The sequence below is a fragment of the Homo sapiens genome, chromosome 9 (assembly GCF_000001405.40).
Source record: "Homo sapiens chromosome 9, GRCh38.p14 Primary Assembly".
In the NCBI taxonomy this organism is placed as follows: Eukaryota; Metazoa; Chordata; class Mammalia; order Primates; family Hominidae; genus Homo; species Homo sapiens.
Window position 1 is genome coordinate 6,738,513 of NC_000009.12, and position 24,286 is coordinate 6,762,798.

At 46.5% G+C, this 24,286-nt stretch overlaps 1 protein-coding gene and 1 pseudogene across 18 annotated transcripts in view, besides 8 other annotated features; one reads left to right on the plus strand and one right to left on the minus strand.

Moving 5' to 3' along the window:
* KDM4C (lysine demethylase 4C) overlaps positions 1–24,286 on the plus strand; it is a 454,786-nt gene that overhangs the window by 17,650 nt on the left and 412,850 nt on the right. For 17 of the 18 annotated variants that reach the window (NR_148680.3, NR_148679.3, NR_148677.3 and 14 more), the window contains exon 1: positions 19,461–19,691. The exons of the other annotated variant lie outside the window; for it this stretch is intronic. The gene's annotated coding sequence lies outside the window, so the exon portion shown is untranslated. Of the gene's footprint in view, positions 1–19,460; positions 19,692–24,286 lie in introns of those variants that run through there. 18 annotated transcript variants of the gene reach the window in all.
* SNRPEP2 (SNRPE pseudogene 2) lies at positions 10,041–10,502 on the minus strand (annotated as a pseudogene).
* Positions 11,994–12,083: an enhancer, noted in NCBI's record as "active region_28204". NCBI's record gives its function as "activates an Ori minimal core promoter by ATAC-STARR-seq in GM12878 lymphoblastoid cells {active_cell/tissue: GM12878}" and the evidence as "EXISTENCE:reporter gene assay evidence [ECO:0000049][PMID:35858748]".
* Positions 12,094–12,153: an enhancer, noted in NCBI's record as "active region_28205". NCBI's record gives its function as "activates an Ori minimal core promoter by ATAC-STARR-seq in GM12878 lymphoblastoid cells {active_cell/tissue: GM12878}" and the evidence as "EXISTENCE:reporter gene assay evidence [ECO:0000049][PMID:35858748]".
* Positions 17,552–18,263: an enhancer, noted in NCBI's record as "H3K4me1 hESC enhancer chr9:6756064-6756775 (GRCh37/hg19 assembly coordinates)". NCBI's record gives its function as "activates a minimal SCP1, AML or CMV promoter by ChIP-STARR-seq in primed H9 embryonic stem cells {active_cell/tissue: H9 hESC(primed)}" and the evidence as "EXISTENCE:reporter gene assay evidence [ECO:0000049][PMID:30033119]".
* Positions 18,995–19,354: an enhancer, noted in NCBI's record as "active region_28206". NCBI's record gives its function as "activates an Ori minimal core promoter by ATAC-STARR-seq in GM12878 lymphoblastoid cells {active_cell/tissue: GM12878}" and the evidence as "EXISTENCE:reporter gene assay evidence [ECO:0000049][PMID:35858748]".
* Positions 19,395–19,634: a silencer, noted in NCBI's record as "silent region_19770". NCBI's record gives its function as "represses an Ori minimal core promoter by ATAC-STARR-seq in GM12878 lymphoblastoid cells {active_cell/tissue: GM12878}" and the evidence as "EXISTENCE:reporter gene assay evidence [ECO:0000049][PMID:35858748]".
* Positions 19,725–19,894: a silencer, noted in NCBI's record as "silent region_19771". NCBI's record gives its function as "represses an Ori minimal core promoter by ATAC-STARR-seq in GM12878 lymphoblastoid cells {active_cell/tissue: GM12878}" and the evidence as "EXISTENCE:reporter gene assay evidence [ECO:0000049][PMID:35858748]".
* Positions 20,555–20,774: an enhancer, noted in NCBI's record as "active region_28207". NCBI's record gives its function as "activates an Ori minimal core promoter by ATAC-STARR-seq in GM12878 lymphoblastoid cells {active_cell/tissue: GM12878}" and the evidence as "EXISTENCE:reporter gene assay evidence [ECO:0000049][PMID:35858748]".
* Positions 22,813–23,495: an enhancer, noted in NCBI's record as "H3K4me1 hESC enhancer chr9:6761325-6762007 (GRCh37/hg19 assembly coordinates)". NCBI's record gives its function as "activates a minimal SCP1, AML or CMV promoter by ChIP-STARR-seq in primed H9 embryonic stem cells {active_cell/tissue: H9 hESC(primed)}" and the evidence as "EXISTENCE:reporter gene assay evidence [ECO:0000049][PMID:30033119]".

The following is a 24,286-nucleotide window of genomic DNA, read 5'->3' on the forward strand; positions in this document are numbered from 1 at the left end:
AGTCTCGACCTCCCAAGGCTCAGGTGATCCTCCTGCCTCAGCACCCTGGAGTAGCTGGGACCACAGGTGGGCACCACCACGCCCAGCTAATTTATTCATTTACTTATTTCAAGACAGAGTCTCGCTCTGTCACCAAGGCTGGAGTGCAGTGGCATGATCTTGGTTCAAGCAATTCTCCTGCTTCAGCCTCTTGGGTAGCTAGGATTACAGGGGCATGCCACCACGCCCAACTAATTTTTCTTTTCTTTTCTTTTCATTTTTTTTTTTTGAGAGACAGGGTTTCACCGTGATGGCCAGGCTGGTCTTGAACTCCTGACCTCAGGTGATCCACCAAAGTGCTGGGATTACAGGCATGAGCTATCACGCCTGGCCGCCCAGCTAATTTCTATATTTTTTGTAGAGATGGGGTTTCCCCATGTTTGCCCTGGCTGGTCTCGAAATCCTGGGCTCAATTTATTCTCCCACCTCAGCCTCCCACCTGAGCCTCCCAAAGTGCTGGGATTACGGGCATGAGCCTCCACATCCGGATTTTTTCCTTTGCAGATCTATATGTAGATATTCCTAATTATTATTATTTTGAGACAGAGTCTCACTCTGTCACCTAAATTGGAGTGCAGTGGTGAAATCTCTGCTCACTGCAACCTCTGCCTCCTGGGTTCAAGCGATTCTTGTGCCTCAGCTTCCCGAGTAGCTGGGATTACAGGCGCCCACATCCATGCCCAGCTAATTTTTGTATTTTTAGTAGATATGGGGTTTCACCATGTTGGCCAGGCTGGTCTTGAACTCCTGTCCTCAGGTGACCTGTCCCCCTGCACCTCCCAAAGTGCTGGGATCACAGGTGTGAGCCACCGTGCCTAGCCATTTTTTTCCTAATTAATTTGTGACCCAGAAAATCCTGTTTAAAATCTGCCATCTAGTGTGGGATTTGTAAAATGACAAATCACTGGACACAATCATGTGTTTACACTAAGGCTTCACTCCTGGACACCAGGTTTAAAACTTCTCAGCATCAAATAACATTATCCAGTAAAGTAGCATTAAATGTGGTTACCCATTTGGTTTTACTCACAGTTTTAGATAGCTAGATAGATAGATATGAGTATATTGATATGCAGGGTAGATTTTTTTTTTTTTTTTTGCAAGTTAGAGCTTTTGATCAGCAGGATATGGTAGTATTAGAAACCTTTAAATAGCCCAGTAAGCTGGAAGGAATGTGGCTCACAATTGTAATCCCAGCACTTTGGGAGACCAAGGAGGAAGGATTGCTAGGAGTTCGAGACTGCCCTGGGCAACATAGCATGACCCCCATCTCTAAAATAAATAAAAATGAATAAATAGCAAAGTAAAAGCTATCTCATAATTAATTTTTATTATTTATTTTTATTTATTTATTTTTGAGACGGAGTCTCACTCTGTTGCCAGGCTGGAGTGCAGTGGTGTGATCTTGGCTCACTGAAACTTCTGCCTCGTGGGTTCAAGTGATTCTCCTGCCTCAGTCTCCCAAGCAGCTGGGACTACAGGCGCGCGCCACCACACTCAGCTAATTTTTGTATTTTTAGTAGAGACGGGATTTCACCATTTTGGCCAGGATGGCCTCGATCTCTTGACCTCAGGTGATCTGCCTGCCTTGGCCTCCCAAAGTGCTGGAATTACAGGTGTGCGACACCACACCCAGCCTAATTTTTTGTTTTGTTTTGTTTTGTTTTTTTGAGACAGAGTCTTGCTCTGTTGCCCAGGCTGGAGTGCAGTGATGCAATCTCGTCTCACTGCAAGCTCCGCCTCCCGGGTTCACGCCATTCTCCTGCCTCAGCCTCCCTAGCAGCTGAGACTACAGGCGCCCGTCACCCCACCTGGCTAATTTTTTGTATTTTTAGTAGAGATGGGGTTTCACCGTGTTAGCCAGGATGGTCTTGATCTCCTGACCTTGTGATCCGCCCACCTCGGCCTCCCAAAGTGCTGGGATTACAGGCGTGAGCCACTGCGCCTGGCCTTTCACCCGGCCTAATTTTTATTTATTTATCCTTGAGATGAAGTCTTGCTCTGTTGCCCAGGATCTAGTGCAGTGGCACGATCTTGGCTCACTGCAACCTCCATCTCCTGGGTTCAAGCGATTCTCCTGCCTCAGCCTCCGGAGTAGCTGGGATTACAGGCGCGCGCCACCACATCCAGCAAATTTTTCTATTTTTAGTAGAGATGGGGATTCACTATGTTGGCCTGGCTGGTCTCGAACTCCTGACCCCAAGTGATTCGCCCACCTCAGCCTCCCAAAGTGCTGGGATTACAGGCATGAGCCACTGTATCCAGCCAGTAGTATAATTATTTTCTTTTTTTTTGAGACGGAGTCTCACTCTGTTGTCCAAGTTGGATTGCAGTGGGAGGATCTCGGCTCACCACAAACTCTGCCTCCCAGGTTCAAGTGATTCTGCCTCAGTCTCCTGAGTAGCTGGGACTACAGACGCATGCCACCATGCCTGGCTAATTTTTGTATTTTTAGTAGAGATAGGGTTTCACTATGTTGGCCAGGCTGGTCTCAAACTCCTGACCTCATGATCCGTCTACCTTAATTTTTGTTTTCAACTATGAAATATATTTTTAAAAACTCAGGCCAGGCACAGTGGCTCACACCTGTAATCCCAGCATTTTGGGAGGCTGAGGCGAGTAGATCATGAGGTCAGGAGAATGGGAGCATCCTGGCCAACATGGTGAAAACCCATCTCTACTAAAAATACAAAAATTAGCCAAGGTGGTGGTGCGTGCGTGTAGTCCCAGCTACTCAGGAGGCTGAGGCAGCAGAATCGCTTGAACTAGGGAGGCGGAGGTTGCAGTGGGCAGAGATTGCGACACTGCACTCCAGCCTGGGCAACAGAGCGAGACTCTATCTCAAAAAACAAAAAACAAAAACAAAAACTCAAGAGGAAAAGAATATTCTATTTACCCGGGTACATGCTATTTACTCGGGTATTTAGCCTTTTTATTGTTCTTCATTCATTTCTTATGTTCCTAGCTTCCTTCTGATGTAATTTCTCTTATATCTGAACTTATGGCAATTTATTCAGAGGAGTTTTGTTTGCAACACATTCTCTTAGTTTCCTTGTATCTAAGCATGTCTTTATTTCATCTTTATTCCTGAAGAATATTTTCATTGAATTTTGAGGTGGCAGCTCTTTTTTTTTTTTTTTTTTGTCTTTTGGTGACACTTTTTATTCAGCACTTTTTTTTTTTACTTTTTAAAAATAATAGAGACAGGGTCTAACTATGTTTCCCAGGCTGATTTTGAACTCCTGGTCTCAAGGGATTCACCTGCCTTGGTCTCCCAAAGTGCTGGGATTATCCACGTGAGCCATCATGCCTGGCCTGTTAAGCATTTTAAAATGTTGTTACACACACACACACACACAAATACAGTTTTTTCTTTTTTTTTTCTAATGGCTCAAAAACAATAATAAAATGTTTTTATTTATTTATTAATTTTTTTTTGGAGACGGAGTCTTGCTCTGTCACCCAGGCTGAAGTGCAGTGGAGTGATCTCGGCTCACTGCAACCTCCACCTCCCGGGTTCAAGCGATTTTCCTGCCTCAGCCTCCCTAGTAGCTGGGACTAGAGGTGTGTGCCACCATGCCTGGCTAATTTTTGTATTTTTAGTAGAGATGAGGTTTCACCATGTTAGTCAGGCTGGTCTTTTTAGTAGAGATGGGGTTTCACCAAGTTAGTCAGGCTGGTCTCGAACTCCTGACCTCGTCATCCGCCCGCCTTGGCCCCCCAGAGTGCTGGAATGCAGTGGGCAATACATTATCTTTCCCTGGCTATTTTCAAGATTTTCTTTGTCTATATTTTCAAAGTTTGATTGCAATCTATCTCAATTTGGATTCATTTGGATCTGTCTTTTTTATTCATTTATTTATTTTATTATCAAGCAGCCCCCTGAAACAGAGTTAGTTCAGAGAGACTCTCTGGGTTTTTTCTGTTAAGGTTCTGCTGGCCTTCGTGAGTATCAGTTATTGTCTTTTGCCAAAATTTAGAAAATTTTTAGCCATTGTTTCTTCAACTTTTTTTTTTTTTTTGTACTGCACTTTTTCTCCTTTCCTTCTGGAACTCTGATGTCATGAATATCAGCCCTTTGGTATTGTTCACAGATTCCTCAGGCTCCTTTATTTTGGTGGGGTGGGGAATTTTTTTTTTTTTAGAAGGAGTCTCACTCAATTGAGTAGGCTGGAGGGCAGTGGGGCGATCTAAGAATCGCTTGAACCCCGGGGCCTTTGACTCTAAGGCCCTCCTTGAGGCTCCCTCTCCTTCCTTGGGGAGTTTGACGCAGAAAATGGGGTCAAAAACTGCTGCCGCAAACATCTTCAGTGTCAGTAGCCAAGGTCTGGGGAGACCCATGGGGTCTCACCAGGAGGCTGAGGCAGGAAAATCGCTTGAACCCGGGAGGTGGAAGTTGCAGTGAGCCAAGATTGTGCCATTGCACTCCAGCCTGGGTGACAGGGCGAGGCTCAGTTTAAAAAATAAAACAAAAATCCTAGGTCTAGGTCTAAAAAGGAAAAAATCAATCAGCAAACATAAGTGTGGCTTTTAAGAGACATCCTTGTAGAAAAAAATGCTGCTGACAAAGGATTACTAATATGAAAATAATAAGGGATGAAACAGACTAAACAATACAGCTGCTAGGTAATCAATCAATCCTCTTGTCTTAAGTAGAGCTAATGAAATTAGGTCGACTGAAATGGTTTTGTCAGTGGTGGGGGCTTTACCCCTTCAACGACATCACTGAGGCACTTCGTTCAAGCAAAATTACATCTACCTTGCACATAACTATAACCAGCACCCCGCACAATTCAGGGCACACGGGAGGTATGAGGCACATTTTCATTTACTGAGTTAATGAGCAACAAGGATTATCAAGAGTGTGCATCTTTAGTCTCACAGTTATCTTATGTTGTTGTTAACTGTTATTAAGTAAGGAGAAGCTAGAACAAAGAATAACACAATATTTTCTGCTTCCTTTTTTTTTTTTTTGAGAGGGAGTCTCACTCTGTCACCCAGGCTGGAGTGCAGTGGTGGGATCTTGGCTCACTGCAACCTCTGCCTCCTGGATTCAAGTGATTCTTCTGCCTCAGCCTCCCTAGTAGCTGGGATTATAGGTGTGTACAACCAAGCCTGGCTATTTTTCTGTATTTTAGTAGAGACAGGGTTTCGTCATGTGGCTAGGCTGGTTTGGAACTCCTGGTCTCAAGCGATCCACCTGCCTTGGCCTCCCAAAGTGCTGGGATAACAGGCGTGAGTCACCATGCCTGTCCCAGATTTTCTGCTTTCTATATGGAATCTGCAGCTAGTCAAATTCACTTGACTTGTTGGGGTGGGGGACACCTGACAGCTAAGTGACTCACTAATGTGAAATCCTCTCCAATTTTTTTTTTTTTTTGAAATAAGGTCTCGCTATGCTACCCAGGCTGTTCTCAAACTCCTGGGCTCAAACAATCCTCCCACCTTGGCCTCCCAAATTATTGGGATTACAGGTGTGAGACACCATATCCGGCCCCTCTCCAGTTCTATGTAAAAAATCAGCTTCATCCAGATAACAACACTTTGTTACCTCTAAGGGGTGGGGTGGGTGGGGAGGCAGACTGACTTCTGGAGCCTCAATAGCAACAGCGTTTGGAAAAAAATTATTTCCAAACATAGGAGAACTCAGGATCTAATTCACATGTGATCTCCTTAAAAAACTAGTAACAGCTGCCGGGCACAGTGGCTCATGCCTGTAATCCCAGCACTTTGGGAGGCTGAGACGGGCAGATCACGAGGTTAAGAGATTGAGACCATCCTGGCTAACATGGTGAAACCGCATCTCTACTAAAAACTACAAGAATTAGCTGGGCATGGTGGCGTGCGCCTGTAATCCCAGCTACTCAAGAGGCTGAGGCAGGAGAATTGCTTGAACCTGGGAGGCGGAGGTTGCAGTGAGCTGAGATCGCACCACTGCCCTCCAGTGTGGCGACAAAGTGAGACTTCATCTCAAAAAAAAGAAAAAGAAAAAACTAGTAACAGCTTAATTTTTAAAAATATTTATAATAGAGACAGGGTCTACTATGTTGGTCAGATTGGTCTTGAATTCCTGGCCTCAAGCAATCCTCCTTCTTGGCCTCCCAATGTACTAGGATTACAGGCATGAGCTGCCACCCTCAGCCAACAGCTTAATTTCTGCCAGGTAAGGTTGTCTTTATTGTCCTTGTTGGAGGTTTGGGCACACAGACTCCAGGAGTGGTGTGCTCCAGGGTTGTGGGGAAGCAGAAGAGTCCTTGGGATGCTGAGAGGGAGAAGGACTGCAGAAGGCACCAGGGCAAGGTGGGGGGTGGGGAGAGCAGGGGATACCTGGGGCACTGAGAGAGCTAGGTGGGGCTAATACCCTGCAGAAACATGCCTCCAGCAGATATATGGGATGGAGGTGCACGGCCAGCCCTCTTCCTCCTCCTATTCCTCCTCCTCCACCTCCTGGTCCCTCTCCTTCCCTGCCCTTTCACCTTTGACCCAATAGGTCTCCCCAGACCTTGGGTGGTGGCACTGGAGATGTTTGCAGCAGCAGTTTTTGACCCCATTTTCTGGGTCAAACATCCCAAGGAAGGAGAGGCCTTAAAGTCAAAGGAGCATCTCAGGATTGAGAGTCAAGGAAAATTTGATCTTTGTTATGATAATGTTCCCTCCAATCTACAGTTCTCAAACTTTCTGGTCTCAAACCTTCTTAATGTTGAAAATTGTCTTCATGGGTATTTCCATCAGTATTTGTTATATTTTAAAACTGAGAAAAATTTAGGCCAGGGATGGTGGCTCGCACCTATAATCCCAGCACTTTGGGAGGCCAAGGCAGGAAGATCGCTTGAGCACAGTGGTTCATGACCAGCCTGGGCAACATAGTGAGACCCTGTCTCTACAAAAAATAAAAAATTCGCTGGTGTGCTGTTGTGTGCCTGTAGTCCCAGCTACTTGGGAGGCTGAGGCTGGAGGATTGCTGTAGCTCAGGATCACAGAGGAGGTGTGATGGCACCTCTGCGCAAGAGAATGTGGTCCTGTCTCCAAAAAAAAAAAAAAAAAAAATGCCATACTATATTTATTGTATTATGTTACATTACATTATATTTTATTTTATTTTTTTGAGACGGAGTCTCACTCTGTTGCCCTGGCTGGGGTGCAGTGGCGTGATCTTGGCTCACTGCAACCTTTGCCTCACGGGTTCAAGAGATTCTCCTGCCTCAGCCTCCCCAGTAGCTGGGACTAGTGCATGCCACCATGCCTGGCTCCTTTTTGTATTTTATTTTATTTTTTGAGGTGGAGTTTCGCTATTGTTGCCCAGGCTGGAGTGCAATGGTGTGATCTCAGCTCACTGCAACCTCTGCCTCACGGGTTCAAGTGATTCTCCCGCCTCAGCCTCCTGAGTAGCTGGGATTACAGGCATGTGCCACCATACCTGGCTAATGTGTTTTTAGTACAGACGGGGTTTCACCATGTTGGTCAGGCTGGTCTTGAACCCCCAACCTCAGGTGATCCGCCTGCCTCAGCCTCCCAAAGTGCTGGGATTACAGGCATGAGCCACCGCGCCCAGCATACTTTTTGTATTTTAGTAGAGACGGGGTTTCACTATGTTAACCAGGCTGGTCTCACACTCCTGACCTCAAGTGATCTGCCCACCTCGGTCTCCCAGAGTGCTGGGATTACAGGTGTGAGCCACTGTGCCCAGCCAGCCATTATATATATATATATGTTTTTTTTTTTTTTTTTTTTTTTGGAGACCGAGTCTTGCTCTGTCGCCCAGGCTGGAGTGCAGTGGAGCAATCTCGGCTCACTGCAAGCTCTGCCTCCCGGGTTCACGCCATTCTCCTGCCTCAGCCTCCCGAGTAGCTGGGACTACAGGCGCTCGCCACAACGCCCGGCTAATTTTTGTATTTTTAGTAGAGACAGGGTTTCACCGTGTTAGCCAGGATGGTCTGGATCTCCTGACCTCAGGTGATCCGCCCGCCTCAGCTTCCCAAAGTGCTGGGATTACAGGCGTGAGCCACCGCGCCCGGCCCATTTTGTATTTTAAAACAGAAAAGTTTAGGCCAAGTGTGGTGCCTCACGCCCGAAATCCCAGCACTTTGGGACACCAAGGTGGGAGGATCGCTTGAGCCCAGGAATTCCAGACTAGCCTGGGCAACATGGCAAAACCTCGTCTCTAAGAAAAAAACAGGCCAGGCGCGGTGGCTCACGCCTGTAATCCCAGCACTTTGGGAGGCGGAGGTGGGTGGATCACGAGGTCAGGAGATCGAGACCATCCTGGCTAACACGGTGAAACCGTCTCTACTAAAAATACAAAAAATTAGCCGGGCGTGGTGGCGGGCACCTGTAGTCCCAGCTACTCGGGAGGCTGAGGCAGGAGAATGGCGTGAATCCGGGAGGCGGAGCTTGCAGTGAGCCGAGATTGCCACTGAACTCCAGCCTGGGCCACAGAGCTAGACTCCGTCTCAAAAAAAAAAAAAAAAAAAAAAAAAAGAAAAAGAAAAAAATTAGTCAGGTGTGGTGGTGCACACTTCTGGTTCCAGCTATTCAGGAGTCTGAGGTGGGAGGATTGCTTGAGCCCAGGGAGTTGGGGCTGCCATGAGCCAAGATCACTCCACTGCACTTCAGCCCGGGTGATAGAGCAAGACTCTGTCTCCAAAAAACCAAACCAACCAACCAACCAACCAACCAAAGAACCTGAGAACAATTTAAGACACAAGAATATAGATGGCCGGGCACTGTGGCTCCAGCCTGTAATCCCAGCACTTTGGGAGGCCGAGAGGGGCGGATCGCGAGGTCAGGAGATCGAGACCATCCTGGCTAATACGGTGAAACCCCGTCTCTACTAAAAATACATAAAAATTAGCTGGGCGTGGTGGTGGGCGCCTGTAGTCCCAACTACTCCGGAGGCTGAGGCAGGAGAATAGTGTGAACTCAGGAGGCAGAGATTGCAGTGAGCCGAGATCGCGCCACTGCACTCCAACCTGGATGACAGGGCGATTCAAAAAAAAAAAAAAAAAAAAGAATATAGAAATACACATTATCTTAGCTTTCAGGGCAATGGAGTTTTCTGGAAACAATCCACTGTATGCTCCTGAGTGAATGGGAACGGAAAAGTCAGATAATGTCATAGTATTATTATAAAAATAGTTTTAACCTTGCCAGTTTCTGGAACAAATTTTGAGAACCACTGCTCCAGAAAATCTTTGCCTGCACAACTTAGAGCAGGGCCTTTGCTGCTTGAGCAGCCCGCTCTGATCTAGAATTTAGAGGGAGTGCCCTGGAATGCCGTCCCTATCACTGCCTTACTGGCATTTGCCCTTTAGTCTGTGGAGGATTTCTTTCTAGGAAAGAACAGAGGCTGGGCGCTGTGGCTCACACCTGTAATCCCAGCACTTTGGGAGGCCAAGGCCGGTGGCTCACTTGAGCCCAGGAGTTCGAGAGCAGCCTGGGCAATATGGTGAAACCCTGCCTCCACTAAAACCACAAAAATTAGCTGAGTGTGGTGGCATGCGCCTATGAGGGAGGCTGAGGCAGGGGAATCACCTTAATCCGGGAGGCAGAGGTTGCAGTGAGCAGAGATCGCACCACTGCACTCCAGCCTGAGTAACAGAGCAAGACTTGGTCTCAAAAAAAAAACAAACAAACAAACAAAAAACAACAACAATTAAAAAAAAACAACAGGAATTGGCTGGGCGTGGTGGCTCACGCCTGTAATCCCAGCACTTTGGGAGGCTGAGGCAGGTGGATCACCTGAGGTCGGGAGTTCAAGACCAGCCTGACCAACATGGAGAAACCCTGTCTCTACTAAAAATACAAAATTAGCCAGGAGTGGTGGCACATGCCTGTAATCTCAGCTACTAGGGAGGCTGAGGCAGGAGAATCGCTTGAACCTGGGAGGTGGAGGTTGCGGGGAGCTGAGATTACGCCATTGCACTCCAGCCTGGGCAACAAGAGTGAAACTCCGTCTCAGAAAAAAAAAAAAAAAGATTTATTATTATTATTAGTATTATTAGTTTTAATACAAACAATCCCACAGCATTTATTGCCATCTTGTAAAAACATAAGTGTAATCAAAACAATATGAATAAATGTTCATATTGGACAAAGGACGTCTAAAAACAAACTGTATCCTTCTCAACAATTTCTCACTTCATTGATCATTTCTAGTTGGAGACACTTTGTAGCAGAGTAATATTATCTCCTTTTAGCATGATCCGACCCAGTTGTTTTCTTGACTTTGTTTTCGAATGAATCTCTTCTGCATCATCTAATACAAGGTTCATATACTCATCAAAACCAATGATACAGCCTTCTATCTGCATATTCACTTGCTCATAGAGCCACACCTGAATCTGCGATCTATTTTGTAAGTATCTGAAGATGAGGTTGATGGGCTGCACCATAACCTTCTGCACTTTCTGGCCCTGGCCACTGTATGCCATGGTGGAATTTCACAAAGAGCACACTTGCAAGCTTATTATTATTATTTTTATTTTTGAAATGGAGTTTTGCTCTTGTTGCCCAGGCTGGAGTGCAATGGCGCGATCTCGCCTTCCTGCAACCTCTGCCTCCTAGGTTCAAGTAATTCTCCTGCCTCAGCATCCCAAGTAGCTGGGATTACAGGCATGCACCACCACGCCCGGCTAATTTTGTATTTTTAGTAGAAATGGGGTTTCGCCATATTTGCCAGGCTGGTTTCGAACCCCCGACCTCAGGTGATTCACTCACCTCAGCCTCCCAAAGTGCTGGGATTGCAGGCGTGAGCTACCAAGCCTGGCCAGGAATCCTTAAAAAGGTGTCAGGATATCAATAGAAGTTTCATGAGCTAATAACTAATTTGAAGAGAACAGCCAACAAAATAGGACTACATGTATCTTTCTCATGATGGGGCTGGATAAAATCAGGTAACACTAATAAAGTCATCTAAGTGTGGGCAATATGGTGAGACCCCATCTCTACAAAAAATAAATTAAAAAAAATTAACCAGACATGGTGGTGCATGCCTGTGGTCCCAGCTACTTGGGAGGCTGTGACGGGAGGATTGCTTGAGCCCAGTAATTCAAGGCTGCAATGAGCTATGATTGCACCACTGCATTTCAGCCTGGACAACAGAGTGAGAGCCTGTCTCAAAAAAATAAAAAAATAAAATTAAAAAAAGGTAACCTGGCTGGGCGCAGTGGCTCATGCCTGTAATCCCAGCACTTTGGGAGGCTGAGGTGGGAGGATCACCTTAGGTCAGGAGTTCGAGGCCAGCCTGACCAACATGGTGAAACCCTGTCTGTACTGAAAATACAAAATTAGCCGGGTGTGGTGGTGCATGCCTGTAATCGCAGCTACTTGGGAGGCCGAGGCACAAGAATCACTTGAACCAGGGGGGCGGAGGTTGCAGTGAGCCAAGATTGTGCCATTGTACTCCAGCCTGGGCAACAACAGTGAAACTCCTTCTCAAAAAAAAAAAAAAAAAAAAAAAAAAAGAGTAACCTAAAGCCAGAGGAAAATGTACTTGCTGTGGTGTAGGCCAAGAAGAAAATGTAAGGCAATTTGTAGACAAGTTTAAGTTCATATTAAAATAATGAACAAGAATTTAGAAAATTTCTTAGAGGTAAGACAGCTCTTCATGGCCAGGCACGGTGGCTCATATCTGTAATCCCAGCACTTTGGGAGGCTGAGGTGGGCGGATCACGAAGTCAGGAGTTCGAGACCAGCCTGACCAATATGGTGGAACCCCATCTTTACTAAAAATACAAAAATTATCTGGGCATGGTGGCACGCACCTGTAGCCCCAGCTACTCAGGGGGCTACGGCAGGAGAATCGCTTGAACCTGGGAGGTGGAAGTTGCTGTGAGCCGAGATCGTGTCATTGCACTTCAGCCTGGGTGACAGATTGAGACTCTGTCTCAAAAAAAAAAAAAAAGCTCTTCACGAGGCAAAAGCACTTGAAGCGAAAGTGAAGCATAGCTTCTGTCTTATAGGAAGTTGAAATAGCCAAAACACCAAGTTCAGGAACAACTGAAAGCACATCATAGGTTTCCAAAAGGAGAGGAAAGAATCTCTTGATTATAAAAACGATGATGCTAAAGTTATGAATAATTCTCTTAAGTTTGACACTGAGGAGAAAAGTAATAGAAAAGAAATTGTATTATCTGGATTAGTCAATGAAGAGCCAGGGGCTCAACAAGGTCAGAAAGTGAAAGACAGAGAAGGCAGTTCTAGCTGCTATTACTGCATAATAAATAACCTCAAAACGTAGTGGTTTAGAGCAGCAGTGGTTTATCATTTTTTACTATTCTCTGGGTTAGCTGACAGTTAACTGCTGGTTTTGCCTGGGCTTGCTCTTGTGGCTGCATTCAGTAGGAGGTGGTTGGGCTGGAAGGTCAAGATGGCCTCACTTACCCATCTGGCAGCTGGTGCTGGCAGTCCACTGGGTGGGTACCTTGGTTATTTTTTCATGAAACCTCTCATTCTCTGGTAAGCTAGAAGAACTTCCTTACATGACAGTCTCAGGACCGTATCATAAGAGAGTGAAAGCAGAAGCTGCAATGTATCTAATGTCTAGCTTTGGAAGTCATATCACATCACTTCTGTCACATTCTGTTGATCAAAGCAAGTCAAAAGATCAGCCTAGGCCGGGCATGGTGTCTCACGCCTGTAATCCCAGCACTTTGGGAGGCTGAGGCTGGCGGATTGCTTGAGCTCATGAGTTAGAGACCACCTTGTGCAACATGGCAAAACCCCGTCTCTACAAAAAATACAAAAATTAGCCAGGCATGGTGGTGCACACCTGTAGTACCATCTACTAGGGAGGCTGAGGTGGGAGGATGGCTTGAGCCTGGGAGGTGGAGGTTGCAGTGAGCCAAGATTGCACCACTGCGCTCCAGCCTGGGTAACACACCCAGATCCTGTCTTAAAATTAATAATAATAATAATAATCAGCCTAGATTCAGCAGGTGGGGATATAGCTGATCTCTTGATGGAAGGAAGGGCAAAGTCACATTGCAAAGGATCATGGGAAGATCTTGTGGCTACATTTTACAATTTATCACAACAGGGAATGGATATGACAAGGACCCAAACTATATTAACATTAGTTCAAGAAGAGAGAAGCCACTTACAACTTTAGCTGAATGATGAGATCTCAATTATGCATAATCAGAACACTTAAGGAAGATGGAACAGGATAGTTGTTCACAATAGTCAGCTCAAGGCCCCTAGAAAATGTATTATAAAGCTGCAGGCTGAAAATTGAGCTCATTGATCAGACAGAATACCTTCTGGAAGAATTTGAGTAGAAAAGAAAAATCAGAGCAATTAGGTAGGGAGAAAGGGAAATATTAAAATCAGTGAATTTGATAAATTTGAGGTAAACTACAGAATGTGAAAATATCTTACAAGGCAACATTTTGTTCTGCAGAAGAAAGCCCATGACAATTAGGTTCTTGTTTGTGATACCAAAGGAGCTACTGCTGGAGAGATTAAGCAAGTCACATTCCTGAGTTAAAAATTAAGGAGGATGGCCGGGCGCGGTGGCTCACGCCTGTAATCCCAGCACTTTGGGAGGCCGAGACGGGCGGATCACGAGGTCAGGAGATCGAGACCATCCTGGCTAACACGGTGAAACCCCGTCTCTACTAAAAATACAAAAAATTAGCCGGGCATGGTGGCGCGCGCCTGTAGTCCCAGCTACACGGGAGGCTGAGGCAGGAGAATGGCGTGAACCCGGGAGGCGGAGCTTGCAGTGAGTCGAGATCGCGCCACTGCACTCCAGCCTGGGCGACAGAGCGAAACTCCGTCTCAAAAAAAAAAAAAAAAAAAAAAAAAAAAATTAAGGAGGAACAGGTAAAACAAAAAATTGGTAACGTTCTCAAAACCAGGGATTTTTTTTTTTTTTCCGGTGGAGTTTCGCTCTTGTTGCCCAAGCTGGAATGCAATGGCATGATCTCGGCTTACTGCAATCTCCGCCTCCTGGGTTCAAGCGATTCTCCTGCCTCAGCCTCCTGAGTAGCTGGGTTTACAGGCATGCACCACCATGCCTGGCTAATTTTGTATTTTTAGTAGAGACGGAGTTTCACCATGTTGGTTAGGCTGATCTCAAACTCCTGACCTCAGGAGATCCGTCCACCTCGCCTTCCCTGGAATTACAGACGTAAGCCACCGCGCTCAGCCTAAAACCAGGGATTGTTAAAGCAACTTCCAAAAAGTTATATTGTGGTCTCTTTCCAACTAATATATGAATTTTATTTATATATGCCAAGTGCTCTATTTCCTATTATAATCAGAGACTTTATAAAAATAGCAATAAAATATCTGTGTTCCTCAATGAAGATATCTTTTAAGTTCATGCCTGAGGTGGAGGAGCATTTTATCCCTCAGTGATGAAAGATGTCCTGTGATATTCCAGGCACTCTATGATCATTAATGGAAGAAGTGTGCTTGGACTGAAACCCATGCCTCACCCTAGTTCCAGGGGACCACTGAGGAGTCAGAAATAGCAGCTGCTTTTGATCTAAGCTCTGATGTAACTACAATACTAATCAGTATCTCAAGAAGTTCCTCTCCTTCTACCCCAATGGATGGTTTGGTTGACTCTGGCACAAATCCTAATCCTTATCAGGAATGGCCATGATAAGCTCACCTAGAGCAGAACTTCTACCTCTTCTTAGTCAGTTTGGACTGTCTTTCCAATGATAAGGATTTCATGGATCTAAAACTTTTCTTCCACCCTTATTTCTGAAAGTCTTCCAACTCAGGCCTAAGAGTAAGCACACCAGGCATTTACCTGAAATAATGGACTTGTTCCATGATTATTAAATCTATAAACACTGACTTCTATCTTTTATCTATCATGTCTTGGTCTATTTTGTGGTGCTATAATAGGATACCACAGACTGGGTAATTTATTTTTATTATTATTTTTAATTGAGATGGGGTCTCGCTATGTTGCCTAGGCTGGTGTTGAACTCCTGGGTTCAAGTGATCCTCCTGCCTCAGCCTCCCAGAGTGCTGGGATTACAGGCATGAGTCATCTCACCTGGCAGACTGGGTAATTTATAATGAACAGAAGTTTATCGGCTCGCAGTTCTAGAAGCTAGAAAGTCCAGGACTGAGGGGCTGTATTAGGTGAGGGACTTTGTGCTGCATTATCCCATGGCAGAAGGACAAAGAACAAGAGAGAAGAGGATGAACCCATTCCTGCAGTTACGGCATTAATTCATTAATAAGGGCAGAGCCCTCATGGACTAATCATCTCTCATTATTCCTGTATAAGTAACATACATATTTGATAAAGGTAAAGGTAAATAAAAACACTAAGTATTACTATCATTGAATTCTTTTTTTTTTTTTTTTTTTTTTTTGAGATGGAGTCTTGCTCTGTCACCCAGGCTGGAGTGCAGTGGCACGACCTCGACTCACTGCAAGCTCCGCCTCCCGGGTTCATGCCATTCTCCTGCCTCAGCCTCTGGACTAGCTGGGACTACAGGCACCTGCCACTGTGCCTGGCTAATTTTTTGTATTTTTAGTAGAGACAGGGTTTCACCGTGCTAGCCAGGATGGTCTCGATCTCCTGACCTCAGGTGATCCGCCCGCCTCGGCCTCCCAAAGTGTTGGGATTATAGGCGTGAGCTACCGAGCCCAGCCTCATTCAATTCTGTATATTTGTTTTGTTTTCTTTTCTTTTTCTTTTTTTTTTCTGAGATGGAGTTTTGCTCTTGTCATCGAGGCTAGAGTGCAGTGGTGCTATCTTAGCTCACTGCAACCTCTGCCTCCTGGATTCAAGTGATTCTCATGCCTCAGCCTCCCGAGTAGCTGGGATTACAGGCACCTGCCACCATGCCCAGCTAATTTTTGTATTTTTAGTAGAGACAGGGTTTAACCATGTTATCTAGGCTGGTCTTGAACTCCTGACCTTAGGTGATATGCCCGCCTTGGCCTCCCAATGTGCTGAGATTAGAGGCATGAGCCACTGTGCCCAGCTCAATTATTTATATTTGTAAAAAGTGTAGTGTACTTCAACAGATTCAAAATTAGACTATTATTTAGAAGTATATCAATTTGCAGCCAGGGCAGTGGCTCACTCCTGTATTCTCACCACTTTGGGAGGCTGAGGCGGGAGGATCATTTGAGCCCAGGAGTTTGACACTAGCCTGGGCAACATAGTGAGACCCTGACTCTACAAAGAAATAAACAAATTAGCCAGGTGTGGTGGTGTGCGCTTGTAGTCCCAGCTACATGGGAGGCTGAGGTGGGAGGACTGCATGATCCTAGAAGTGGAGGCTGTATTGAGCCGTGATAGTGCCACTGCACTCCAGTCTGGGCAACAGTGTGAAGATCCTGTCTCAAAGTAAAAAAAAAAAAAAAAAAAAAAAGCAGCATATAAATTTGCTGCATTATATATATTTTAAGAAACTTACAAGTATTGGCCAGGCATGGTGGCTCACGTCTGTAATCTCAGCACTTTTGGAGGCGGAGGCCAGCAGATCACTTGAGCTCAGGAGTTTGAGACCCGCCTGGCCAATGTGGCGAAACCCTGTCTACAAAAAATACAAAAATTAGGCCGGGCATGGTGGCTCACGCTTGTAATCCCAGCACTTTGGGAGGCCAAGGTGAGTGGATCACAAGGTCAGGAGATCAAGACTATCCTGGCTAACACGGTGAAACCCCGTCTCCACTTAAAATACAAAAAATTAGCTAGGTGTGGTAGCACGCGCCTGTAGTCCCAGCTACTTGGGAGGCTGAGGCAGCAGAATGCCGTGAACCCAGGAGGCGGAGGTTGCAGTGAGCTGAGATCGCGCCACTGCACTCCAGCCTGGGCAACAGAGTGAGACTCTGTCTCAATTATAAAAAAATGCAAAAATTAGCTGGGCATTATGGCACATGCCTGTAATGCCAGCTGCTCAGGAGAATGAGGCACAAGGCACGAGAATTGCTTGAACCCGGGAGGTCAAGGCTGCAGTGAGCCGATATGGCGCCACTGCACTCCAGCCTGGGCAACAGAGTAAGACTCTGTCTCAAAAAACAAACAAATAAATAAAATAAAATAAAAACAAGTATTGTCTCTGAGGTGATCTGATGATCTGTTCGTTAGTTCACATTACATATAAACTTCAAGGGGAATCTATGTATTGTTCATACAGCCTTCCATTAATATATTGCAATTGGGATTTAAACAATTGAATCTAAATAAAAAATTTACTATATGGCTAAAATGTTTTCACGATAATTCATAATATGGAGGTATTTTGATACATTAGGGACACAAGACTGCCCTCAGTGCCATGAGTCCAGTTGATTTTCTAGTAGGCTCTCTTCACTTTCCAAGACTGTGAAGCACTTAATGGATTCACATAGTGCTTTACAGCTTTTGAAGTGTTTTGACATTTTACATTATCTTCCTTAAAATTAAAAAGTGCTCAGTGAAGTTAGCAAGGTTCGTATATCCACTTCAGTTCTTCAGGTTAAAAAAAAGTCATACTCTAATTCACAATGGTAAAGAAATGTTATTTGTGCATCTGCAAATTCTGAAGAAAATGGATTTCAGGTTTCCAGATTTTTTATTCTGGTGCACAAGATTTCTAATATAGCATATGGCTTCCAAAAGACCCTAGCTGCTTGATTGTGGACATATTTCTTAACCGCTATGCTTCAGTTTCCACATCTGTAACAATGAGGTATTAATAGTACCTATTCATTGAATTATTATAAGTATTTATTAATACATGTGAAGCTCTGAAGACAGTGTGTAGCTCACATTACTGTTCTAAGTAAGTGTTAGGTTGCATATTTATTATTTTAGCATATCCAATTTACTTGTAAGGATGGTTGGGATCCTGACGTTACATGCACACATTTGGAAAATTCCCAGTTGAGTATACGTTAGCCAAGTTCAGAATTGTGTGTGGCCGGGTGAAGTGGCTCACGCCTGTAATCCCAGCACTTTGGGAGGCCGAGGCGGGCGGATCACCTGAGGTCAGGAGTTTGTGACCAGCCTGGCCAACATGGCGAAACCCTGTCTCTACTGAAAATACAAAAATTAGCTGGGCGTGGTGGCGGGCGACTGTAATCCCAGCTACTCGGGAGGCTGAGGCAGGAGAATCTCTCGAACCCGTGAGGCGGAGGTTGCAGTAAGCCGAGATAGCGCCATTGCACTCCAAACTGGGCGACACAGCAAGACTCCGTCTCAAAAAAGAGTGTGTCTGTGTGTGTAGCGGAACTTTGTTTTTAACAACTAAAGAAATATGGTGACCCAATAATCCCGTTAGCCTTAGCTCAATTAATCACATTCCATCTGTCCTCACAATGTTCACCCCAGTGAGAAACGAGTTCAAGCGCGTGGTAAGCGGTGTCGATATATTTTTAAAATTCTGTTATCAGTATAATGTAACAGAAAATTCAGCATATTAGCCCAACTTTGCTCACTGGTGTGAAGATATGCCCAATCTTTCTTAGCTAAGACGTTAGAGAAAACGCCACAAGGGACCCAGCTGGGAGCTCTGTAGGAAGTTTAAAAAAAAAATCATTCAGCTTTGCAAAACATCTGATGCTCAACCATCTGTCTTTGGCAGTACAGGGGCTTAAGGTCTGGTTGGTTCCTTCTGACACCTCGGAAGGCGGAGTTACAGAGGAAAAGCAACAAGTTGTAGGAAGTTAACTTATCTAGTCTCAGACGCTGGAGGCACCTGCATTTCTAGTCACTTCAGTTCTGGCCAAACTGTTATCAACTCTAGTTTCTGAGGGACCGCCAGCCCAGGATTCCTATTGGGGTCACCTTTGTGCCTCCCTATCTTAAGAGCACACTTGGGCGGGTCGGGGCGGGACGTGCTGGGTGTAGGTGACTCAACACCGGACAGTTTTGCTTCCAGAGGCTGACACGCTCCTGCGCGGTAGTTGTTAAAGGGTTGGGACACGAAGATACTCTTCGCCTATTCGGGATCTCCCATTGTGGGAAGGAGGCTCAGTGGTCCCGGCCACCGGGTGAAGGGAGAACGGGAACACAGCGCTGTCATCGCCGGAGAGCTGCGAGCCCCGACTTTCTCGCCAGGCTCTCCAGTACATTCCGAGGCTCCACCCCGGTAACGCCACGCTGACGTCCGCGCGTCGGAGGCCGCCATAGGTGCGCGTCGGCGCCCAGGAGGACGTGTGGCGCGTGGACTACATCAGGTCCAGCCCTGCGGGACCCCAGCCAGCGCTTCCGGGCAAGGTTCTGTGCACCTGTTTTCTCCTTCTACGCGAGTATCTTTCCCCTCCGGAAAGAATGGGATATGCCTGTGTCCAAAGGACAAGAAGATGCGCGCCAGCAAGCCTAAGTTAACCACAGCGCGGAAGTTGAGCCCAAAGCAAGAGCGTGCCGGGCACCTTTAAGCTGTTTGTAAGCCCACGTGACTCACCAAGTGCGGGCCCCAGCGGTCACGTGACGGCGCGCGCGCCCTCGCGCAGGGAGAGCCGGCGGTGCGCGCGCCTTCGCCGCTGCCTCCCACCCACCCCCTCGACGGGAGGGTGAGGCGCGGCGCAGTGATCGGGCGGCCGGGGTCCTGTGCGCGTGCGCAGCGAACAGCTGTCACCTAGTGCGGAACAAGTCTCCCAAATTTCCCAAATCTCCCTGGGCCGGAGGCCACTGTCTTCTCTTCCTCCTCCACCGAGTCGTGCTCTCGCCCCAACCCGCGCGCCAGGTAACCGCTTTTCCGGAGTCTGGGGGCCAGGGCGGGGGGAGGGTCCGGAGAGGTCTTCCCGGCACTGCCCCCCTCCGCGTGGGGCACGGGGGTGCGGGCGTCCGGGCGAGCGGCGACGCTGGGGCAGAGACGCTCCGTCCGTGACTGCAGCGACTGTCAAGCTGGGGAGGGAGCGGCCGGCCGCGGCCGCAGGGGAGGGATGCGGGGGCCGGTGACAGCCCGCTCCGGCCCTTACCGAGGTTCGGTACCCGCGCTCGCCGTTTTCCCGGGATCCGGAGTCGGGGTCGCCTCCTTGGGGCAGAGGAGCGCTCGGGCGGTCCTGGGATGCGGACCTCTTAACGCCGCCAGTCGGCTGTGGCGGACTCCAGGAAGGCCGGGCCTGGTGCACCCCTCGGGGCCCTCCCTTCCCTGGGAGTGTCACGACCCGCGGGGTGAGGGTGGGAGCTCCTCTCCTGACCACCCGTTGCAGGCAGTCATCCCGTCATTCGGGGTCGTCTTCAGCCCTCGCGGCTGTCCTTTTGGTGTTTCTTTCCCCCGGCATGGGGCCATTTCTTCCTGCAGTGCCTGGAGGAACCATGATGCGGTGTAGACGGCGGGTGCTTAAATAAATGCGAGTTGGATTAGGGCGCGTGGACTGCCAGGCACAGAACGTGGCGTGGAGTGGGGACGTGGAGGAGGGAGCCAGACAGGCCGGGGCTGTAGGCAGGAGCTTGGGGTTTTCCTCTGTGCTCCGCCAGTAAAGCCAGCAGCCGGGATTCAGATGCTTTCCGCGTGGACTTGATGCTGGGCTCCCCCTTTGCTGCGCGGTGCAAGCCTGCGCTGGCTGGCTCTGATTGTGGGCAATACTACCGGGAGGGGTTTTGTCAGGTTCCTTCTTCCGGAAGAGACAAGGTAAACTTTTTTTTGCGCTTGATAAACTAACCCCGAGAGGTGATTTATAAAGCACTGTTCGGAAATGTAGGTTAGAAAAGCAGAGTCACTTTTATCCTGGTGAAAGTTACTAGTAGGTTCCGGCCACTTAGGTTCACACTAAACTCTGCCCTATTTTCACCCATTTCAGTTTGCGGTATTTAAAAAAATGTCTAAATTCCGGGCAGCTTGGCTTTACTGTTTCTATGGCAACGGTGACTAATATTCTCATTTCGAAGTGTTGTGGTTGAAAACTAGTGGTTTTAATTTTTAAAGGTCCATTTTTTATTAGGAAGCAGTCGGCTCTGCTTTGCGATTATCGCTTGCTTTCTTACCTTGCTGGCCTCCGCGCAACCCGCCCATAGTTTGTTTTGGAACGGATTACACGGTTGTTCGGGTTTTTTAGGTGCTTTTTCTCCCAATTTCAGTGTTATGAAAAGTTTTCACATAAGCTTTACAGTATCCCGCAAACTTGGTAATACAGTACAATTTAAACCGAAGACTTATTTCTTTTTATTAACAGACTTTAGTCAGTTGCTTTTCTAAAGTTGAAAATCAGACCCGGCGCCGTGGCTCCTGCCTGTAATCCCAACACTTTGGGAGGCCGAGGCGGGTGTATCACCTGAGGTCAGGAGTTCAAGACCAGCCTGGCCAAAATGGCGAAACCTCGTCTGTACCAAAAATTCAAAAATTAGCCAGGCATGGTGGCAGGCGCCTGTAATCCCAGCTGAGGCAAGAGAATCACTTGAATCCTGGAAGTGGAGGTTGCCGTGAGCCGAGATGGCACCACTGCACTCCAGCGTGGGTGACAGACTGAGACTCCATCTCAAAAAAAAAAAAAAGTAAAAATATAAATAAATAAATAAATAAATAAATAAATAAAAGCTTTTAGTAAATGAATAGTCTTGTGCAACCATCACCACAATGAATTTTTGAATTTTTTTAATCCCCAAAAGAAGCTCTGTTCCTATTAGCTGTCATTGCCTAGTTCCCTCCAATTCTATCCCCTTCTGTCCCTAGGCAACCACTAATCTGCTGTCTGTCTCAATAGATTTGGCTATTCTGGACATTTTATATACATGGAATAATACACTATCTGGTCTTCTGTGAGTGACTTCTTTCACTTGGCATAATGTTTTTTAAGGTTCATCCATGTTGCAGCCTGTATCAGTACTTCATTCCTTTTAATGGCTAATATTCTATTATGGATACATCACATTTTGTTTATTCATCAGTTGGTAGACATTTGTGTTATCTCTGCTTTTGGCTGAGTAATGCTATGAATATTTGTGAACTAGTTTTTGTGTGGACGCGTGTTTTCTCTACTCTTGGGTATATATATATATATATATAATGTAATTGCTAGGTTAAACATCTGTTGAATGACTGCATGCGTAAGGAGGGATAGTTAGTCTTGGGTGATACTCTTTTTTATTTATTTATTTATTTATTTATTTATTTATTTATTTATTTTTTGAGACGAAGTCTCACTCTGTTGCCCAGGCTGGAGTGCAGTGGCACGATCTCTGCTCACTGCAAGCTCCGCCTCCTGGGTTCACACCATTCTCCTGCCTCAGCCTCCTGAATAGCTGGGACTACAGGCACCCACCACCATGCCTGGCTAATTTTTTTTTTATTTTTAGTAGAGATGGGGTTTCACTGTGTTAGCCAGGATGGTCTCGATCTCCTGACCTCGTGATCTGCCCACCTCAGCCTCCCAAAGTGCTGGGATTACAGGCGTGAGCCACCGTGCCTGGCTTGGTGATACTCTTTCAAGCCTTGAAGGGGCCTGTTGATCTTTCCCTATTCCACTGCCAACTTCAGTTCTCCAGTTCTCTAAAGTGGGGCTTTATTCTATGGTTAATGCTGTGTTTTCCTTTCCTGGATGTCTTTTTTTTTTTTTTTTTGAGACGGAATCTCGCTCTGTTGTCCATGGAGTCTCACTCTGTGCCAATGGCGCGATCTCGGCTCACTGCAACCTCTATCTCCCAGGTTCAGGCGATTCTCCTGCCTCAGCCAACCCAGTAGCTGGGATTACAGGCACCCACCATCATGCTTGGCTAATTTTTGTATTTTTGTAGAGACAGGGTTTCACCATGTTGTTCAGGCTGGTCTCGAACTCCTGACCTCAGGTGATCCGCCCACCTTGGACTCCCAAAGTGCTGGGATTACAGGTGTGAACCACTGTGCCCGGCCTCTGGATGTCAGTATTAAGATCATCCTGTTCTTTTTTTTTTTGGAGACAGGGTGTAACTCTGATGCCCAGGCTGGAGTGCAGCAGTGACAGTCTCAGCTCACTGTAACCTCTCTGTCTGCTGTGCTCTGGCAGTCCACCAGCCCCAGCCTCTCAAGTAGGTGGGACTACAGGTACATGCCATCATGCCTGGCTGATTTTTGTGGTCTTGCCATGGTACCCCGGCTGGTCTGAAACTCCCGGGCTCAAGCAGTCCGCTTGCCCCAGCCTCCCAAAGTGCTAGGATGACAGGCGTGAGCCACTGCACCTGGCCTGATCATCCCTTCCTGTTAGCACAGTCTTTATACTGCTCATGGTTATTCCCTTGATATTCACTTATTTGCTCTATATTTAGTGATAAGATAGGTACATTCTGTACTTTGATTAAGCTCAATATCTACTGAAAAATGTGTGTTCCCTTTTGTTAAATATTAGTATTTAATGCTTCTCTCCCAACCTCTGTCTCTTTTTTCTTTTTCTTTTTGAGATGGAGTCTCCCTCTGTCGCCCAGGCTGGAGTGCAGTGGCATGATCTCGGCTCACTGCAACCTCCGACTCCCTGGAGTGATTCTCCTCCTCAGCCTCCCGAGTAGCTGGGATTACAGGCACGCCCAACTAATTTTTTTCGTATTTTTAGTAGAGACGGGGTTTCACCGTGTTGGCCAGGATGGTCTCGATCTCCTGACCTCGTGATCCGCCTGCCTCGGCCTCCCAAAGTGCTGGGATTACAGGTGTGAGCCATCATGCCTGCCCATTTTTCTGTTTTTATTATACTTTAAGTTCTAGGGTACATGTGCGCAACGTGCAGGTTTGTTACATAGGTATACATGTGCCATGTTGGTTTGCTGCACTGATCAACTCGTTGTTTACATAAGGTATTTCTCCTAACACTATCCCTCCCCCAGCCCCCCACCCCACAACAGGCCCTGGTGTGTGATGTTCCCCTCCCTGTGTCCATGTGTTCTCATTGTTCCTTCTTTTCTTTTTCAGTTAAAAAAATTTCTGTTTGTAGAGATGGGGTCTCAGTGTGTTGCTCAGGCTAGTCTCAAAATTCTGGGCTCAAGTGATCCTTCTGACTTGGCCTCCCACAGTTCTGGGATTACAGGTGTGAGCCACTGTGCTTGGCCTGCAAGCTCTATTTCTGTTATGAATTTCTTAGGAGGTGTATCATAATTAAAGTCACAGTATCTTTTTTATCGCTACAAATGTAGACCATTTTGTGGAGCCTAAAATATAATTTTATAATATAAATACAATATATATTAGGTCATTGTCTTTATATTATATAATATATAATATAATATATTAGGTCATTGTCTTTTTTTTTTTTTAAGATGGAGTCTCGCCCTTGTTGCCCAGGCTGGAGTGCAGTGGTGTGATTTTGGCTCACTGCAACCTCCACCTCCTGGGTTCAAGCGATTCTCCTGCCTTAGCCTCCCAAGTAGCTGAAATTA